Genomic DNA, 17,694 nt, shown 5'->3' on the forward strand with positions numbered 1-17,694 from the left:
AGTTCAAGTTCCTTTCACAGGTATGTATCACCCTTATTTTATGTTGAAAGGAAGCACGCAGAAGTCTGGGAATAAACAGGCCTCAAGAAGACAGTTTTTTAAATCCTATTTTGCGCTCACTTCCATTTCAAAACTTTTTAACATGTATGTGGACTGTAGGGAATTTGGACATGTGAAAACAGCCTACTTGGGTGAACTTTCAGATTAATTAGTCTTTCTCTTGTTCATTCTTTTTCATTCTTTCTCTTATTAATTCATCTGCTATAATTAAATTTATATAAATAAGTATTTTTAAAATCTGTGGCCAGATTGGATGGGTATCCATCTGTATTTACTAATTTTGTGATTTGGGGGCAAAAAGCAATAACCAGTTTGTACCTCAATTTCCTCATTCCTAATATGGAGATAATTATAATAGCTACCTCACATGTTTGTAGAGCAGTCTTAGTTCAGAGTGAACACTCAGTGAGGTTTAGATTGTAATATACATAATGATAATGAAGCGGCGTCATTTGTCTGAGGTAATACCCAAGGTCCCTTGTCTCACACCAAGGAAATTAAGGACGCTGACACACCAGAGTGAGGTTAAGAGCAGAAGTTTAATAGGCGAAAGAAAGAGAAAAGCTCTGTTGCTACAGAGAGGGGCCCCAGAGAAAATAGGTTGCCACTTCCGCGGTGAAGTGCAGGAGGTTTTAGAGATGAGCTTGAGGAGGCGGTGTTTGATTTACATAGGGCACAAAAGATTGGTCGGACCAGGTGTGCTATTTGCATAGTACATGAAAATCTGGCCACCCATACTCTAATCTTTTATTATGCAGATGAGTTTTCTACCTGGCTGGCGTCATGTTGCCTGCTTCTTTTACTGTACATGTGGTGACAAAGAAAAGGGAAGATAGACCCTCCATGTTCAACATACCTGGCCCCCAGGTAGCCTTTATCTATTGGAACAAATGCTTCCAGCTTGCTTATCTATGTCTGCAGCTCGATTTTTTCAGGCTGCTCCTTGTTAGAAAAGAAATAATTTGGGGGCTGCTTTTTATTAGAAGGGAAATCTTGCCAAGGACTCTTTTACCTTCCCTATTTGCCTAAATAATTTCTTTCTAGCTCCTGTGTCAATATTGATAGCAGTTATGATGTTTTTTTCTGTAAGAATTCAAATATGCCAAAAATATGACCTATTGATTCACACAGCCACTTGAAAAATATACAGAATACAGAATTATAATCATAATGATTAGTTTCAAATTAGCCTAGTGGGAATAGAGGGAATTCTTCCTTGGTTTTTAGTGGAATTTCACATTCAGTATTTTTCTTTTAACTTTAAAAAAGGAAAACAAAGTAAATATGATTATTGACTTTGAGGCATTTCCAACCTAATTCCTTGTTATATAAACCGCATTTTTCTAAATTTTAATCTTTATAATATTCAAATAAAGTTTTTCCAAGCAAAAATAATATTTTTAAAAGAAGTACAGCACTTTTAAATTTTTTTATATCTTCATTTCAAACCCATATATCTCTTGGTTAAAAAAAAGATAATTACAGTTTTAAGTAAAAATAAATGATTCAATAGATGATAAATATAACCTCAAAATACTGAAATATACCAAAGAAATTTAATGTATTTATTACAAACTAGACATACCTGTAAAATAATAGAAGTTTTAGATCAGGAAGATAAATTAATGATATGAAAATAAAATAAATGAATTAGAAAATCTACACATATGAATTAATATTTCTCTAGGGAGAGAAATTCTTATACCCTAAAAAAAGAACACGTATTCTTTTGACGTTCTCATGGATCAGTCACAAAGAATGACTGCTTCCTGTGTCACAAAGAAAGTTGAAAATAATTTCAGACTCAGTATCATACATAGCCATTTATCTGACTACAAGACAGTTAAGTAAAACATTTACAAAAAAATAATTTTTAATCTATATTTGAAACTAAATTAATACATATCTAAATATCACACAGATTAATATGAAGAATCTCAATGAAAACTATATAACAGAATTGAATGATATCAAAGCACCTTTTATAAAATTTTGATAAAGTTACATAAAGGTAAGGTTAGAGGCCTAAAATATATATCCTCAAATATAAACATAGTAAGCATTTACTTGAGAAGCTGGAAAAAGTACAATAGAGAAAATCTAATGACATAATGAGATCTCATTTGTGACCAAATTATGTGTGAGCTATTCACTGGCAGGCAGAGAGGATATTTATGTGCATGAAACACTTTTGGAGAAAATATGGAATTGACGGACAAACCAAAACACCCCTTTAAGTGGAGAAATAGACCACATTAGTAGGGTTCAAGACTATATTATAAAACTATATTATAAAACAATTTCTAAATTGATTGAATCAATTTCTAAATTCAAAACTTCAGAAAATTCTTAAATGAAATTTGAGTAGAGAACAACACCTGGGATTTCAACAGAAACCCTAAAGAAGCTGCAGTAAACTAGACTCTCCCAACAAAACGTTTTTTAAAAAGTTTTGAAACATCAAATTAAACTACATTACAGAAAAAGAAAAATCCCAGCCCTTATAAAATTAAACCAAGTAAATACATTTAATAATGTAACATTCACAATACCCGATATTCAGTTAAAAATTACTAGGCAGAAAAAAGCAACCCATAACCAGGAGAAGGATCCATTATTAGAAACACACATATAAATAAAAATGGATATAATTAGCAGACAAGAACTTTTAATATAGCTATTAAAATATGTTAACAGGGGAAACAAATATAAATATTACTGGAAACTACAAACAATTAAAATAAACTTCTAAAGCTAAAACCCATAATAGCTGAAATCAGAATGCTACTGGATGCAATTAAGAGCAAATTAGACACTGGAGAAGAAACAAATCAGCAAACTTAAAGAACAGGAATAGAAATGATCTAAAACTGAAGCATAGAGAGAAAACAGGCCTGAAAACACAATAAAGATTCTCAGTGACCTGGGAGATCAATTCACATTGTTTATCATAAGTGTAATCAAATTACAGAACTAGGGGTGGAGGAGGGCAGAAAAAATACTTGAAATAATGTCCAAATATTTCTATTTGAAAAATATGAATCTATAGATTCAAGAATCTCAAAGAAATCTAGGCAGATAAGTGCACACGCATGCATACACACTATCATTACTCTCACTTTTGTAGCTACAATAATTTCTGCATAAGCACACACACATACACACACACACACACACACACCCCTATACCAAGGCATATCATGATCAATTGCTTGCATAATCAAGGCAAGTCACTGATAAAGATAACAATTTTAAAGGCAACCAAGAAGAGAGATACCTGTTCTGGGGATGACAGAAAAGAAAATATTCTGGCTACTATTCAGAAACAGTGCAAACCAACTGAAAATAGAATGACACATTCAAAGTGCTGAAAGCACTTCCTCAAACTGACCAAAAGCAATTACGAAAAAAGCTGGAGCTAATATTATGCTCAATGGTGAAATATTGAAGGCTTTCACCCTAATATCAAGAAAAAGTCAAGGATGCCTGCTCTCACAACTTGTATTCAACATTCTACTGGTGTTTCTAGCCTTTATGATAAGGCAAGAAAAAGAAATGAATGGAATATATTGTGTAAAGGAAGAAATAAAACTGCTTATGTGAGTAGAGAAAAATATATCATGTATGAGAAAAATCTTAAGAAATCTACCAAAAAAGCTACTAGATATAACAAGTAGCTTTAAAAAAAGAGTCAAAGGATATAAAGTCAAGATACAAAAATCTACTTCTACATACTAGTAATGAACAACTGGAATATTGCAGTTAAAAATACCATTAACAATAGCATCCAGGGGGAAGGGAGAGCATCAGGATAAATAGCTAATGCATGAGGGGCTTAATACCTAGGTGATGGGTTGGTAGGTGCAGCAAACCACCATAGCACACACTTACCTATGTAACAAACCTGCAAGTCCTCACAGGTATCCCAGAACTTAAAATTAAATTAAATTAAATTTGTAAAAAAGCATCCACAAACATGAAAAGTTTAGGATACATTTAACAAAATCTGTGCAAGATCGATATACTTAAAAGCCACTAAACATTAATGATGGGAATTAAGATTAAAATAAATTTCTCCAAAATTCATTTTCATAAACTCAAAACTCAATATTGTTAAGATGTTAATTCTCTTCATATTGATTTACAGATTTGGTGAAATCTCAATAAAAATTCCATAGGACTTTTTTAAAGAAATTGATGAACTAGTTTTATAGTTTATATGGTGCAAAAGACCTAAAGTGACTAAACACTTTAAAATAGAACAAAATTGAAAGATTTACACTATAGATCTATAGATTCATTTACAGAAAAAAAGGTCCAAAAATAAACTTGCACACAGATGGTAAATTGGTTTTCAACAAAGATGATAAAATAATTCAACAGGGAACATATAGTCTTTCCAAAAACAGTATTGGAACAACTAGATGTCTATACGAAAAATCACGAATCATCACCTTTATACAAATACCCACAAAGATTAAATTGAAATGGATCTGAGACCTAAATGTAAAGGCTAAAACTATTTAGCTTATGGGGATAAAAGTAAGAAAAATTCTTCATGAACTTTCAATAAGCAAAGATTTCTTAGTATACAAACCAAAAATAAAACATCGAGGAAAAACTTGATAAATTATCCTTCATCAAAGTATAATTTCTTGCTCTTCAAAAGACACTGTTAAGAAAATAAAATAAAATAAAATAAAAATAAAAAAGAAAATAAGGCCAGGTATGGTCTCTCATGCCTATAATCTCAGCACTTTGGGAAGCCAAGGTGAGAGGGTCAATTGAGCCCAGGAATTTGAGACCAGCGTGGGCAACACAGGGAAACCCCATCTCTACAAAAAATTTAGAAATCAGCTAGGTGTGATGGCACATGCCTGTGATCCCAGCTACTGGGGAGGTTGAGGTGGGAGGATTGCTTCTTGAACCCAGGAGGTCAAGGCTGCAGTGAATTATGATCATGCCATTGCACTCCAGCCTGAACAACTGAGTGAGACTCTATCTCTAAATAAATAAATAAGCAAATAAATAAATGAGATGGAAAGTCAAGCCACAGGCTGGAAGAATAGCAGAAAATATTCACAATACATGTAATAGGATACAAGTCCTGGTACTTATATCCAGAATATATGTATATTTACAAAGTATAACACACACACACACACAGATAGCCAGTATGTCAAATGATATTTAGCACCAATACAAAAGATGTTCAATACCATTAGTTATCAAGGAAATGCAAATTAAAATCATGAGATACCATCACACACCCAATGGGATGATTAAAATTAAAATTATCAAAATATCAAGTCATCTTGGTAAGGATTTGGAGCAGCTGGAACTGGAAGTATAAAATGGTACAATCCACTTGGAAAACAGTTTGGCAGTTTCTCGTAAAGTTAAACATACTACCATTATTACCATACTACCCAACATTACCACTCCTAGTCATGTATCTAAGAGAAATTAAAATATACTTTCAGAAAAGAAGTTGTATTAATGTTCTTAGCAGCTTTATTCATAACGGACAAAAATATAGGGTCCAAATGACAATCAACAGGAGTGGATAAACAAGTTGTGGTCTATTTGAGCAATGAAATACAAATTGGCAATAAAATAGGAATAAACTACTAATACACACAAGAGCAGGGAGAATTCTCAAAAACATACGCTGAGTGAAAGAAGACAGACACAAAAGAGTACCTACTGTAAGAATCCATTCTATGAAGTTCTGGAATAGTTCAAACTAATCCATAGTGATAGAAATTGAATAAATGATGACTACTTGGGGTATGGTGTAAGTGGGGAACTGAATTTAGTCGACCAAAGGGAACATTTTGGGAATGATGAAAGTGTTCTCTATCTTGAATGGAGTGCTGTTTACACAGGCATATTCATGTGTAAAATCCCTTAAGTTGTATACATACAATGATTGTATTATTTTATGTATACTATAAACCAATACAATTTACTAAACAGAAAAATAATGAAAAAATAGTTTTGAGACATTTGTATGCCATTCATATAATGTTTAAAAAATACAACAGGTAGTACATTTTTTGTGGATGCATCCATCTTAGTACAGACATAAAATCAAGGGAATGAATGGGAATGTAAAAATTCACATCAGAATCATGGTTTCCCCTGGCAAGGGAGCAATGCAGGTATGGAGATAGATTGTGATGGAATCAGATTGGGATACACAAGGGCTTCCAATGCATTTGTAAATTTTTGTTTTAAAATTTGAAGCCTATCTGTCAACATTGTCAGATTTGCTAAAATTAAGTAATGAGTAAAATATTTATTGTATTATGCTTTATAGTTTTTTGTTTGATGAATTTTATAATTAAAAAAACAGGTAATTTTAAATTTTAATGATTTATTAAAATAAATGACATAAAGTGTTTATGGATTATTTTCACAATAATAATAATTCAAGCTCTCCTGGTTGAATGAGTACAACACTGAGAAAAATATTTACTTACTTCTGTTATATGCTTACTCCATTCCCAAAGCACTAACAATCAGTCTTTTAAACATTTTAAACATTAAAACTTGATATGCTCCAAGTTCTTCCCAAAGAATTAATTATGCTCCTATTCACTTAGTATTTATAACCCCATGAACTGCCTTGAAAAATATGATGAATTCACTTGCTGGACTCTGACACTGGAACACAGAGTTGGTTTCATCAATCTGAGTGTACTACATTCACAAAGTTGGTAAATAGTAACAGGATTAGTACTGACTCCCTGGGCTATTAAATCAGAAGTTTTACCTACTTACGTGTTAAAGATTATACTTAAAATTGTGATATGAATAATTGTGATACATTTAAAATTGTAATAATTTTATTTACTGTAATTAATAATAATCTTCTTTATTGAATCATTACCATGTGCCGGGCACTCTTCTAAGGGCTTTACAAATATTAATTCATTAACCTCATGACAATTCTCGGATAATAGCACTAGGTGCTATTATCTGCCTTTTACAGATAGGGAAACCAAAGCAAAAAGAGGTTAAATAAACTGCCCTAGATTATACATTAAGTAAATGAAAGAGCCTAGACTTGAACACAGGAAGTCTGGCTTCAGAGCCTGTAGTGTTTGCCACCATATCCTGTTATGTTACATGGAGACCACTAGATATATGATAATATCTACTTGGACGTAGTACATACACATAAACTCTATGCCCTCTTTCAAGAACAGAAGCTTATGGATAGTATCTGTAATAGCTATTTTATGCAAATTAAGTTATTCATGTCATATAGTCAGTGATAGTGCCAGCCTTTGTATTTGGGTGTCTAGTACTATACTCTTTCTCTTATTCACTATCTCATCCAATATACATTTGGTCCAAACCAAATTGTATGGTTTGTTTGCTCCAACTCTACACTTGCCAGATTTAAATCTAAAGCTCTGAAACGCTGAGATTTAAGTCTAAATCTCAGCTCTGATCATTTCACTGATCTATTCAGTAGCCCTTCATTGACTATTAAATTAAACTCACTTTTTAAAAATATCTTCCCACAGTATTCTTTTTTCTAGAACTAAACCAAATTAGAATATTTGCTGCTTACTAAAACACATCCTACATGTTCCCAAATACCATGCTTTGGCTCCTACATTTCCCTCAATAACTAAGACCTTTCTTAGAACTGAATTCTGAAGGCGTTTTTGCAGGTTCTTATCCACTGGCATTCTCCATTTACTAGATTGTCAACTGGTTGTGAACAAAGACCAAGTTATTCTCATAATTTTATCCACGTAACACTTAAATAACATCTTACTCATGACAGAAACTTAAACAAAATGTTCAATTGACAGTTTGCCTTAGCAGAAGTAAAATAATGTCTGTGTGACAGTGTATTTTCCTACCAATTCACGCATGCTAAAATATCTTTGCAGTCAGGGAACAAACAAACACTTGTAGATCAAAGATAAATGAAGGTGAAAGAGCAGGGAAAACTGGCATACAGTGATTAATGTATCATTTGCTCAGGATTATCAGTTATCCACAATGTAACCAGGAACTTGATAGTGTGTAAAAATCCTTTAAACAACTGAAGCCAACAAAAAAGAATTCTGTATAATTGAGCAACTTATTAAAAAGTAGTTCATCAACAGTCTTTTTTTCTTACATTATAAATACTTCAACAAACTTGGTTTTCCAGGTCATGGCAATCCAGAAACAGCAAAATTGATGGCTTATATACTTATTTTGTGCACAAACACACACACACACACTTCCTTATTAACAACACATATATCTTCAAAACCTAAAAATTTGGGACCATTTATTGAAATCCAACATATTTCAATAGCCACTGGATAAAAAAAAAATATTACAACACCAGCCTCTGCATCTTTAAGAAAACATTTTTTTTCTCTTTCAATTACATTATGTTTACTGTTTAAGGAGACAGAAATGGGTTTGACATATTATTTAAAAGATCTCATCAAAACTTATTAGACTGAAAAGGTAGGGTAAGGCAGTTTCAGAAGAAAGCTGGAACAAGATATCCCACAGGGCTGAAGCAGGTGGTAGAGATGCAGAGGCAGATCTGGATTCAGTTGCCAATGTGCACATGCATGGAGGCAGACAGCAGGTCCAGAGAGTACAGTAATGAGCAACAGATGGTGAACCCAGCTAGGACACATGAGAGTAGACTAGCAAGAGGTAGCATATCATAACAGGCAGGTGAAGCAAGGCTAAAGAGAATCCAGGAACTGGCACTAGGCAGGTCCAAGTGGCAGGGAAGCAGGTCAGCAGGGAGCAAGATTCTACTCGCCAGCTAGACTCAGTGGTGGCTCACTTCCTCAGGGTGATATGCAAAGTAGAGACCCAGATGGGTTTCAATGGCCCCTCATATCCTGCATATGAATATATAGAGATATATATATACACACACACACACACACACATATATATAAATATCGTTTACAGTGCCTAAGAGTACTAAATAAATGGTAACTCAGTGAGTACATGAATGAATTTTTCAATGTTTTAAGTAATTTAGGGTACTAAAGACATTTTAGAGGCAGGGAATCATCAAAATCAGGTACCAAAAATGTATTACCACTAATCTAACCAAAGCAGTAATAAAGTAAACAAAAATAACATAAGTCAAAATTCCCATTATTTGGTACAAAAATATTGCATACCTAGAAAATACAGATAAATAGACTGAAAAAGATATATACGTAATAAGAAATTCTCTAATGCAGGTGACTGCAAAATAAATATATAAAAATCATAAGTAGTCAATTAACATGAGTGAAAGATAAAATAGGAAAAATTAGTTCACTGACAATGTCCAAACTATAATAAAATATTGAGAGGCTAAACTTATAGTGCATTTCTAAAGAATACTATAACATAGGGAAATGCAAAATATGATTTTTTTAAGTAAGAGAGGCCTATTATAAAGAACATCATTATTCTCCAATTACTTCATAGGTTTAGTATGCCAATTTAAAAGTCTTCATAACATTTAATTGTTCCAAATTTGAAAAAAAAAAAGTTAAGTTCATCTGGAAGAATAAATGAGAAATGGGTTTCAAAATTCAGAAAATAAAAATGATGAAAAAAGAACTGCCCTTTCATGTATTAAAATGGTTTATTATCTAAACAAGTTAAAAGTATATTGTTGAGATAACATACTTTATCTCAATGAAAGCAACCAAGGCCTCAATGAAACACACAGGTTTTTCTAACACAGTCTGTGTTAAAAGATTTTAATAGTAAGGAAATATCACCCACCAGTGGAAAAAACAAAAGTTATTAAGTAAATGATAGTAGGGAACTAAATGATTGTAGGTAAGGAAAATAATGGAGTCGTGTAAGATATAACCTCATCACCAGTAACCAAAATGGATTACGGAGAAAATAAATCTTAGTATGTCCCAAGGCCTTGTTTCTCTTTAAAGTCCATAAATAATTTCCCCCTTCTCAGGGTAATTAATGTCCAGTGAATCCTCCAACCCCAATTTTAGATATTTACATTTTCTCCACAATTTATCAGAATTCAAAGATGTGTATCAAGAAACTAAACCTAAAGTTTAGGTCAATAGACTACTTTGAGTAGCCTTACTTCCTGGTACAACAAATTTAATAAAAGCAGCCTATAATATAATCTGTTATAATTAGGAAGGACTTGTTAAAATAAAATAAAATAAAATAAAATAAAATGAAAACCAGGTTTGAAAAATTTCTAAGCAGACAAACCCAGCTAGCCTTGAAAGTAACCTTAATCTTGCTTGGACTGCAAACATAAGCAAAACAAGTTGGGCCATTTATTGTAAATGCCAGAATCATTAAAAAGAAAACAAGTTCAACAAATCAGAAGCTGCCAGCAATGGAACAGACCAAATAGAGCAACTATATAAGTGTAACCACTCAAATATTTTCAATTTCTTGCTTCCCAGTCATGCTATAAAAGCCTTCCACTTGGATTTCTTTAGTAGAGCTCAAGACGTCCTTCAATTTGGTGTTTCCCAAATGTATGTACCACTGTTTGCCCAAATAAACTCTAAAATTTGTATAGTGTCTCAGTTTATCTTTTAACAGACCTTATTTGTATAATGGAATTTCCCAGGCAATTGAAGCTTATTTTTGGGAGCAAGCTACCTGGTTTCCTGCTCCAACATCCTCGTCTCTATATTTTAGAAGCAACTCAATCTAACCAGAAAGCTCAGCCTCACTCTGGAAAGAACTTAGTCCTTATCTAGGAAAATATTATATTCCTTCAGTACTCTTAGATCAACATCAAGAAAATCTTTCTGTAAATGTAGTGCATGCCTTGTTTCCCAGTCCTAGAAACTAAGATTTGGTCTTATTCACCAGATGCACTTCTTCTACTTGTGCCTAAATTACTGATTTTATTTTATTGTCTCAAATATTTATTTTCTCATTACAAAATATAAAATTATTATACAATTTGTACAAATGACAGAAAAATCTAAAAAGTAAAATGAAATTATATCACGTTAAACTCTAGTACCTAAGGGTAACTCTTATTAACAATTTGGAGTGATGTTTCCAATCCTTTTTTTTCTGGTCATGGTCACTAAAAGAAATGTAAGATTTCATGAAGATACCTAGTGACATAATTGGGGGATTTATGGCATTGGTTAGAATTATGACCATTTTGCTTTTAAGGCCTGGGCTTGAATTAAATGAAATTTATAAGAAACTATTAAATAAGTGAGTCCATTCAAAAATTGGCTAAATTAACTCAGTTGAAAGAAAAGGCTTGTTTTGCTGAGTTTTTCATGATTATGAAGTCTTTTCTAAGACAATGAATTACTATTTTTAAAAACATGTTATATTAGTCTTATTTTTTTCAATTTCCTTAAATTTTTTTTGAAATAATATTTCATTTGTCATGGGAAACTATAAAGAAATATGTTACATACTTACTTTAATGAACTGTATGCATACTGACTACAATCTAACTCTACCAAACAGGAACTTATTACTTGATTTTTAAACAATATGCCACATAATCTAGCAGTAGACATTATAGTGATATAGAATACTTTGTACTTAAGTTCTCATAGTATATCAAGGTAGCTGGTTATACACCAAGAAAAGGTCCTTATGTTCTAAAGCAAATAAAATTACAATTTGAGAGATGTTTATGCAAATTTAATTCCAATAAAGAATTATTTATAAAACAATATGTGAGGCTAAGTGATTTATCCTAGCATTTCTTTTCTGTATGTTTGTTTTCACTTTAAATGCACAATATGAAGATCTGGGGCTGATATTAACTCTCTTAGGGATATTGTGAACAAAAAGTCAATACATCTGAAGAACTTTAAATAATAACTGGCTAACAGTACTCAATACATACTGGTGGTATTTATCACCTCTATCATCATATGAGAATTTGGATTTTACAGTAATTGAATCCTTGATACAGTTTTATTTCTTCTTGACATTGTATTCTAGAACCCATGTTTTAAAGTAGAACTTTAAGGAAGAAAAGAAGTTGTATTACATACAGTGGCCAAAGTGATATATAATTTAAATGATACTTATTTCTACTAATGTAAAATCATTTAACTGTGTATTTGAAGGTAAATTTATGCTTACTAAAAGCCAAGATTCATTCCCAGTTGAAATAAAAATAATTTTAGATAGGAAATTTCATTAATCTTCTTTTCATGACATATATTAGAATGAGAGAAGGGTTTTTAATCACTTGCTAGCTTTTCTTTTATCTAACTTAACTGTATCTGTCAATCATTGAACATAAAATAGGTGTTGGGCATTGTGCTAGGCCAAAAGTTCTCAGTAGTGGCTGCACATTTTAATCATTTTCCATTTCCCAGGTTATTCTATTGTGCAGCCAGGTTTAAGAACCATTAGGCTGGACACATTTAATCTCATCAGAATCCCTACTAGCATTTACAGAAATACTCTGGTTCGGTTGGGCTGCAGTGGATCTTGGGAATCCAAATTTTAACAAGTTCCCCCAGGGTTACAATTGATCATAGGATTATTACTTAATAAATCTTGAGTCCTGATTATGTCAATCGCACTATATAGGCTAATGTGATCATTTCACAGGCCTCTCAGAAATGAGCTACCCAGTATGTAACACTTAAGATACCATTTTTTAAAAATGAAGATGTACTGGACTAAAAAGTGTTTTACAAAATTATTTTAAGGTAAACTAAAATATTTTTATTACTACAAATCAACAGCTTTGTAAAGAAAAAATGTGAAGGATACAAAAAGAAGAGGTAAGGATTAGTTTTCCACGTGGGGTTCCATACTGTTCTGACTATCTTCAGGTTCCCATCAAACTCTGAACCAGCAAGGTTTGGGAGGTGACAAGGTAGCAACACAGATTAGCTTCTGATGACTGTTTTGAAGAGTGAGCAAAGGTAAATAACCACATGTCTTGAGACCCTTATACTTATGAGCCCAGCTAGATGAAATAATGACTTATTGACACAGAGACCAAGGACATCAAAGATGCCCAGGTACTCAGGAGCAAGGTGACTAGGAACAAGTAGCCCACCACTGCTTTTAAAAAACACAGTCAATAAATAATCATACTCATCTATGTAACCATAGCATGAAGGTCTGACTGGTGTACTAAAATTTGGTTGTGACAGCTAGACTTGTGTCAAAAGCTTAGCAATTTTAGCTACAGAAAAAAAAAAATGTCTTGTTACAAAATGTATTTTGAGTAGAGAACTTCTGGTCCCATAGAGGTTTCAGGAACTTCTACCAAAACAAAAGTTTTGGCGGAATTATTTTCAGACAGTAAATGAGCATTATGTCTTGCATTGATTTAAATATGCATCTTTTGGGCAAAACACCAATAAAATTTAAGCAAATACCAAATAGAAATAGAAATTTAAAATTCTAAGAATAAAAAATGCCATTTCAAGACATTCTCATAGATGATAGAAGGTTTTGACAGTTATTACCACTTTCACTCAATCACTCACAAAAATTACATAGTGTCTATTTTAGAACAGATAGTCTTCTGCAATCTATATTGATTATTGCATATTTCCTGCCCTATGTAATGGGTGATATGAACAATAAGCACTATAAGGCAATGTGATAAGTGCTAGGATATATGTAAACATAAAATCAGATACTATAATCAATACAAGCTATGAAAAGTGAATATAGTTTGATGATCCACACTCCACAAATAGCCTCCTTATGAATATTTCCTTACAGACTGAATTTTGAAGTAGAAAAATGTAGGAAACAACATCAGGAACTTCCAAGCTTTCTGTGACTTATGTGCTAACTTTTCTACCAAATTGTATTCCCAAAGAAGCAAATCATTAACAAGGAGATGTACTTTACCCTAAAGCCTTCTGTGTCAACCCAGTATTTTAAGCATTTTAAATAATTCCAGAGTATGCATTGATTTTGAAAACCCTGTGATTTTTTTAGAGTTGATTTTAATAGACGTCTAGTGGTCAATTCTGAACTCAGAATGGCTTCACAATCCCACTTTCCCCCTTATAGCTTTTCCCTCTCTCCCCCACACTCTCCCTCTTCCTCCTTCTTTTACTCTCCTCTTCTTTCTCTCATTCTGTTTCTTTCTTTCTCCATTATTTGTCTTTAATAGACTATTCAAAGTCCCAGAGTCCCAGAGCCTTATAAAGGTCTTGCTCTGCACTTCTGAAGGCACATCTAAATTACTGCACCCTCAGAACAATTTCATGCTAATCTTATAAGATTTTATAAGATCGTACTTCATTTTTCCCTGTGTCTGAGGTTATTGCTATTATGATGTACTTATAAAACTCTTTAAGTAACTTACCACTGCCAAAAATAGTATTACAATATTATCATATATCCAAAAGCTGATTTTAATAATCACTTTGATCTTCAAAAGATAACTTATTCATTGAGAAGTCTGGGATTTTCTTCAAAGTCAGAAAAATATAAGCTTTTTGGTAAATTGACATGGATAAGATTAAAGAAAAATTTCTGCTATTAGAGATTTAGAAACTATTTAGAATACCAAATCCTCAAAGAAGTAAAAATAAAGTATGGAAACATAAGAAGTCTAGGTATTTTAGAATCATATACCTAAGATTAAAGAATTAATATCTGGAAAAGAGTTCATTCTTTTTAAAAAGCAGCATATGTTCTTAGTGCTACTGCATCGTAACATAATTCAAAATCTAAAAGACTAAAGCATATTAATGAATCTGAACAAAATAGTAAAAGAATATCGAAACCATCAAGCATCAGTTATTACACTTATATCTGTTTTAATCATAGCAACCACAAAACAATTGCTGTCTTTTGGCAAGCCTCAAATATAAACGTTTCCAGGAACAGCACGACAGATCGGTAAAGTGCAAAGCAACTCTTGATTCTTGCATTGTTTCTTTGTGATGTGATGTTTCTCACTAAACCCAAACAAAAACTGACACAAGAAAAGAGCGTATTGTGCCATGGAGAAATCATACCACTGCACGGTCCAACTTTATTTTATTACAAAACAAATGTTAGACACATCTGCAGCCATTCCTTATATTATTCATTTTTATGCCCTTTAATCCTCAAAACGAGGGTGCTTTCTGATCACGAATAAAAATTTGCAAAGTCGAGCATATTTCACAAAGGAATAAATAATCATTATCTGTTGCCTGTGATCTGTTAGTGCTTCCAGTCATGGCTGTGATATGAGTGTACTCACACATGTGTGCACACACGCCTACTAATAGAAAAAAAAAGATTTTCTGTAAGCAACTTATAACCAGGAATCAACTGGCAGGTGTGTGAAAAGATTCAGGTTAGGAAAGGAGGCACTGGCATGGATTTATTGCTGTCATGACCATTAAGTCTTGATAGAACTAATTGATTTTGCTCTTTTCACTTTTTAAGAGGTCGAGCTGAAGTTCCCTTTTATGAGATTGGGTAATGGAACAAGTGGTGAACTGAACTAAGGACTTTGTGACATACATTAGAACTCTGGTGTTATTTGGTCCTCTGAACACAGAAGGAATGTCCAACAAAGAGCCATATCAGAAAAGTATGTAAAATCTTAAATTGCTACAACAGCTGAGCGAAGAGAATAGTTCTATTGAAAGAAAATTAATGAACAAGTGTCAAAATGGACAGTTGGTGTCAATTCCTAGAGGATTTGGAAGTGAGAAGTGGAGTTGAGGAAACCATGTTAATAAGCTCTTGTTTGCATAATAAGAACGTCGTACCTCACCAAATATCCATCATAGGAGTCATGCTTGTCACAGTTCACATTAAAGCGTTTCACAGAAAAGAATGCTTTACTATGCGTCATGGAAGCACCTTATTTTGTTGATCTCCAACAGCATATGATCATCTATTTTCGTGGAAACAAATTTAGAAAGGAATTCTACACTCAGCTTATGTGGTAATTCTTGGATCAAACTGTGCCCATCATTTTGAGAAAGAAAAGACCCTTTCAAGCCCAAGCTAACTTATTTCTAAGTGAGTTTAAAATATGTTAACAAACCAAGATGTTTTGTTTTAGCCTCTTTCAGTTGTAATCCCATTTAAAACTAAATTCTCTCTATTCTGTCAACTAATAAATAAGTAGTAGTTTTTTTAAATTTTTGATTATTAAATCTCACTAAAAGCATAATTAACACAAATTGAAAATTTCAAGTGTATTCCATCTCTATCTTAGGAATACTTTATGTGAAAGGTATTTCTTAATAAAGGCTTTCTTTATAAATGGCTTACATAAAATAATTTGCTAAACTTCAGTATAATTTATATTAATAAACCAAATATAGCAAAAATAATTATATCAAAATGTAATTTGTTTCAGCATATCTAATGGGAGACTAAGAAAATAAAATTTCTCTTCCAAAAGATCCTACAATGCCTTTTTCCATGTGCTCCTTTGTAGAAAAAGTAAGATCAGTATTTGCTTTTATTTTTCTCTTTATCTCTATCAACCATATTTACATTTAGCCTTCTCAATAGTTAGACACCTCAGTAATTTCAAGTGAGCATAATATCCTCAAAACATGTGATGTCCAATTGGAAAAGACTGTCCTATCCATGAGAGTTAGATATGGCTAGTTGTTCACAGGATCTGTGTATTGGTTGTAGACACCTTCTACCTGCTAAGATCCCTTGCTCGCTCTCAACCCTAGTCCTTGTTATTACTGTAAGTGGAGCCGACTAATTGGGGAAAAGAGAAAGACAGGATATAAGAGCATTGTGTAACTTAGTATTTGGAAAATGTGTTTTCTCCACATTTACCCTACAATAGTGCACTAAATTATTCCATCTTTTTCCTTTTGCTTCTCACTGTGTGTTTTAAAATAATGAATCAGACCATGTGTTTTGAGTATCTTCACTTGAACATCTATTTTGTGACCTCTGAGACAGGCTGCCTGTACGTAGTAGTGTACATGGAAAATACCATTGTGTCATTATTTGCTAATGGGACAATACGTAGGTCCAAATCTCAGCCATCAGTTACCAACATGCCTCTTTGGGACATGTGACTGAAAACAAAACAAAACAAAACAAAAAAGAAACAAAAAAACAGAAGTTAGCCTGAAGTTTCCCAAATAAACACTCAAAGCTCCTGTAAGGTAGGTAACTCCTAGAAGACTATTCTTTTGGTCGCTGTCAGGAGATTCAGAAGAAAAGCTTCTCTTTAATTATATGAATCAGTGCCATATGAACCAGGTTTAAGTATATAGCATGCAATCTTGGGCAAATAGATTAACTTATCTTTGCTTTGCTTTCTGTATTTTTAAAATGAAATCAATTATATTATACACTTGGTAAAATATTGTGAAGATGTAAAGAGATCATTTACTTAAAGTACTTCAACATATAAGGGCCTGCAACTTATTTTTTTTCAGAGTTGAACAATGGCTACAATTTTACAAAATAAAAAACTTATATATATTACTACTTTTTATTCTTTTCTTTTGGAAGCACCAATTCTTCAACATTATATTGCTACAAAAGAAGCAGCATAAATCTCGCGATAGCTTATACTGAAATACAAGAAAGTGAAAAAAATCTATTTAAATGGCTTAATAAAAAGGCCATACTAATATTGTAAAATTCACAGACAGTCTTTTCTAATATGACAACACTTAGCCCAAATCATATAAAATCAGG

General features: G+C 32.5%; 1 long non-coding RNA gene across 1 annotated transcript in view, besides 2 other annotated features; it reads right to left on the reverse strand.

Annotated features, from left to right (window-relative positions):
* LOC105369867 (uncharacterized) overlaps positions 1–17,694 on the reverse strand; it is a 176,665-nt gene that overhangs the window by 152,968 nt on the left and 6,003 nt on the right. The gene's annotated exons all lie outside the window — the stretch shown is intronic.
* Positions 437–1,075: an enhancer, noted in NCBI's record as "OCT4-NANOG hESC enhancer chr12:81077757-81078395 (GRCh37/hg19 assembly coordinates)". NCBI's record gives its function as "activates a minimal SCP1, AML or CMV promoter by ChIP-STARR-seq in primed H9 embryonic stem cells {active_cell/tissue: H9 hESC(primed)}" and the evidence as "EXISTENCE:reporter gene assay evidence [ECO:0000049][PMID:30033119]".
* Positions 609–903: an enhancer, noted in NCBI's record as "tiled region #776; K562 Activating non-DNase unmatched - State 24:Quies". NCBI's record gives its function as "activates a minimal TATA promoter and a strong SV40 promoter by Sharpr-MPRA in K562 cells {active_cell/tissue: K562}" and the evidence as "EXISTENCE:reporter gene assay evidence [ECO:0000049][PMID:27701403]".

This window comes from Homo sapiens, chromosome 12, assembly GCF_000001405.40.
Source record: "Homo sapiens chromosome 12, GRCh38.p14 Primary Assembly".
NCBI lineage: Eukaryota > Metazoa > Chordata > Mammalia > Primates > Hominidae > Homo > Homo sapiens.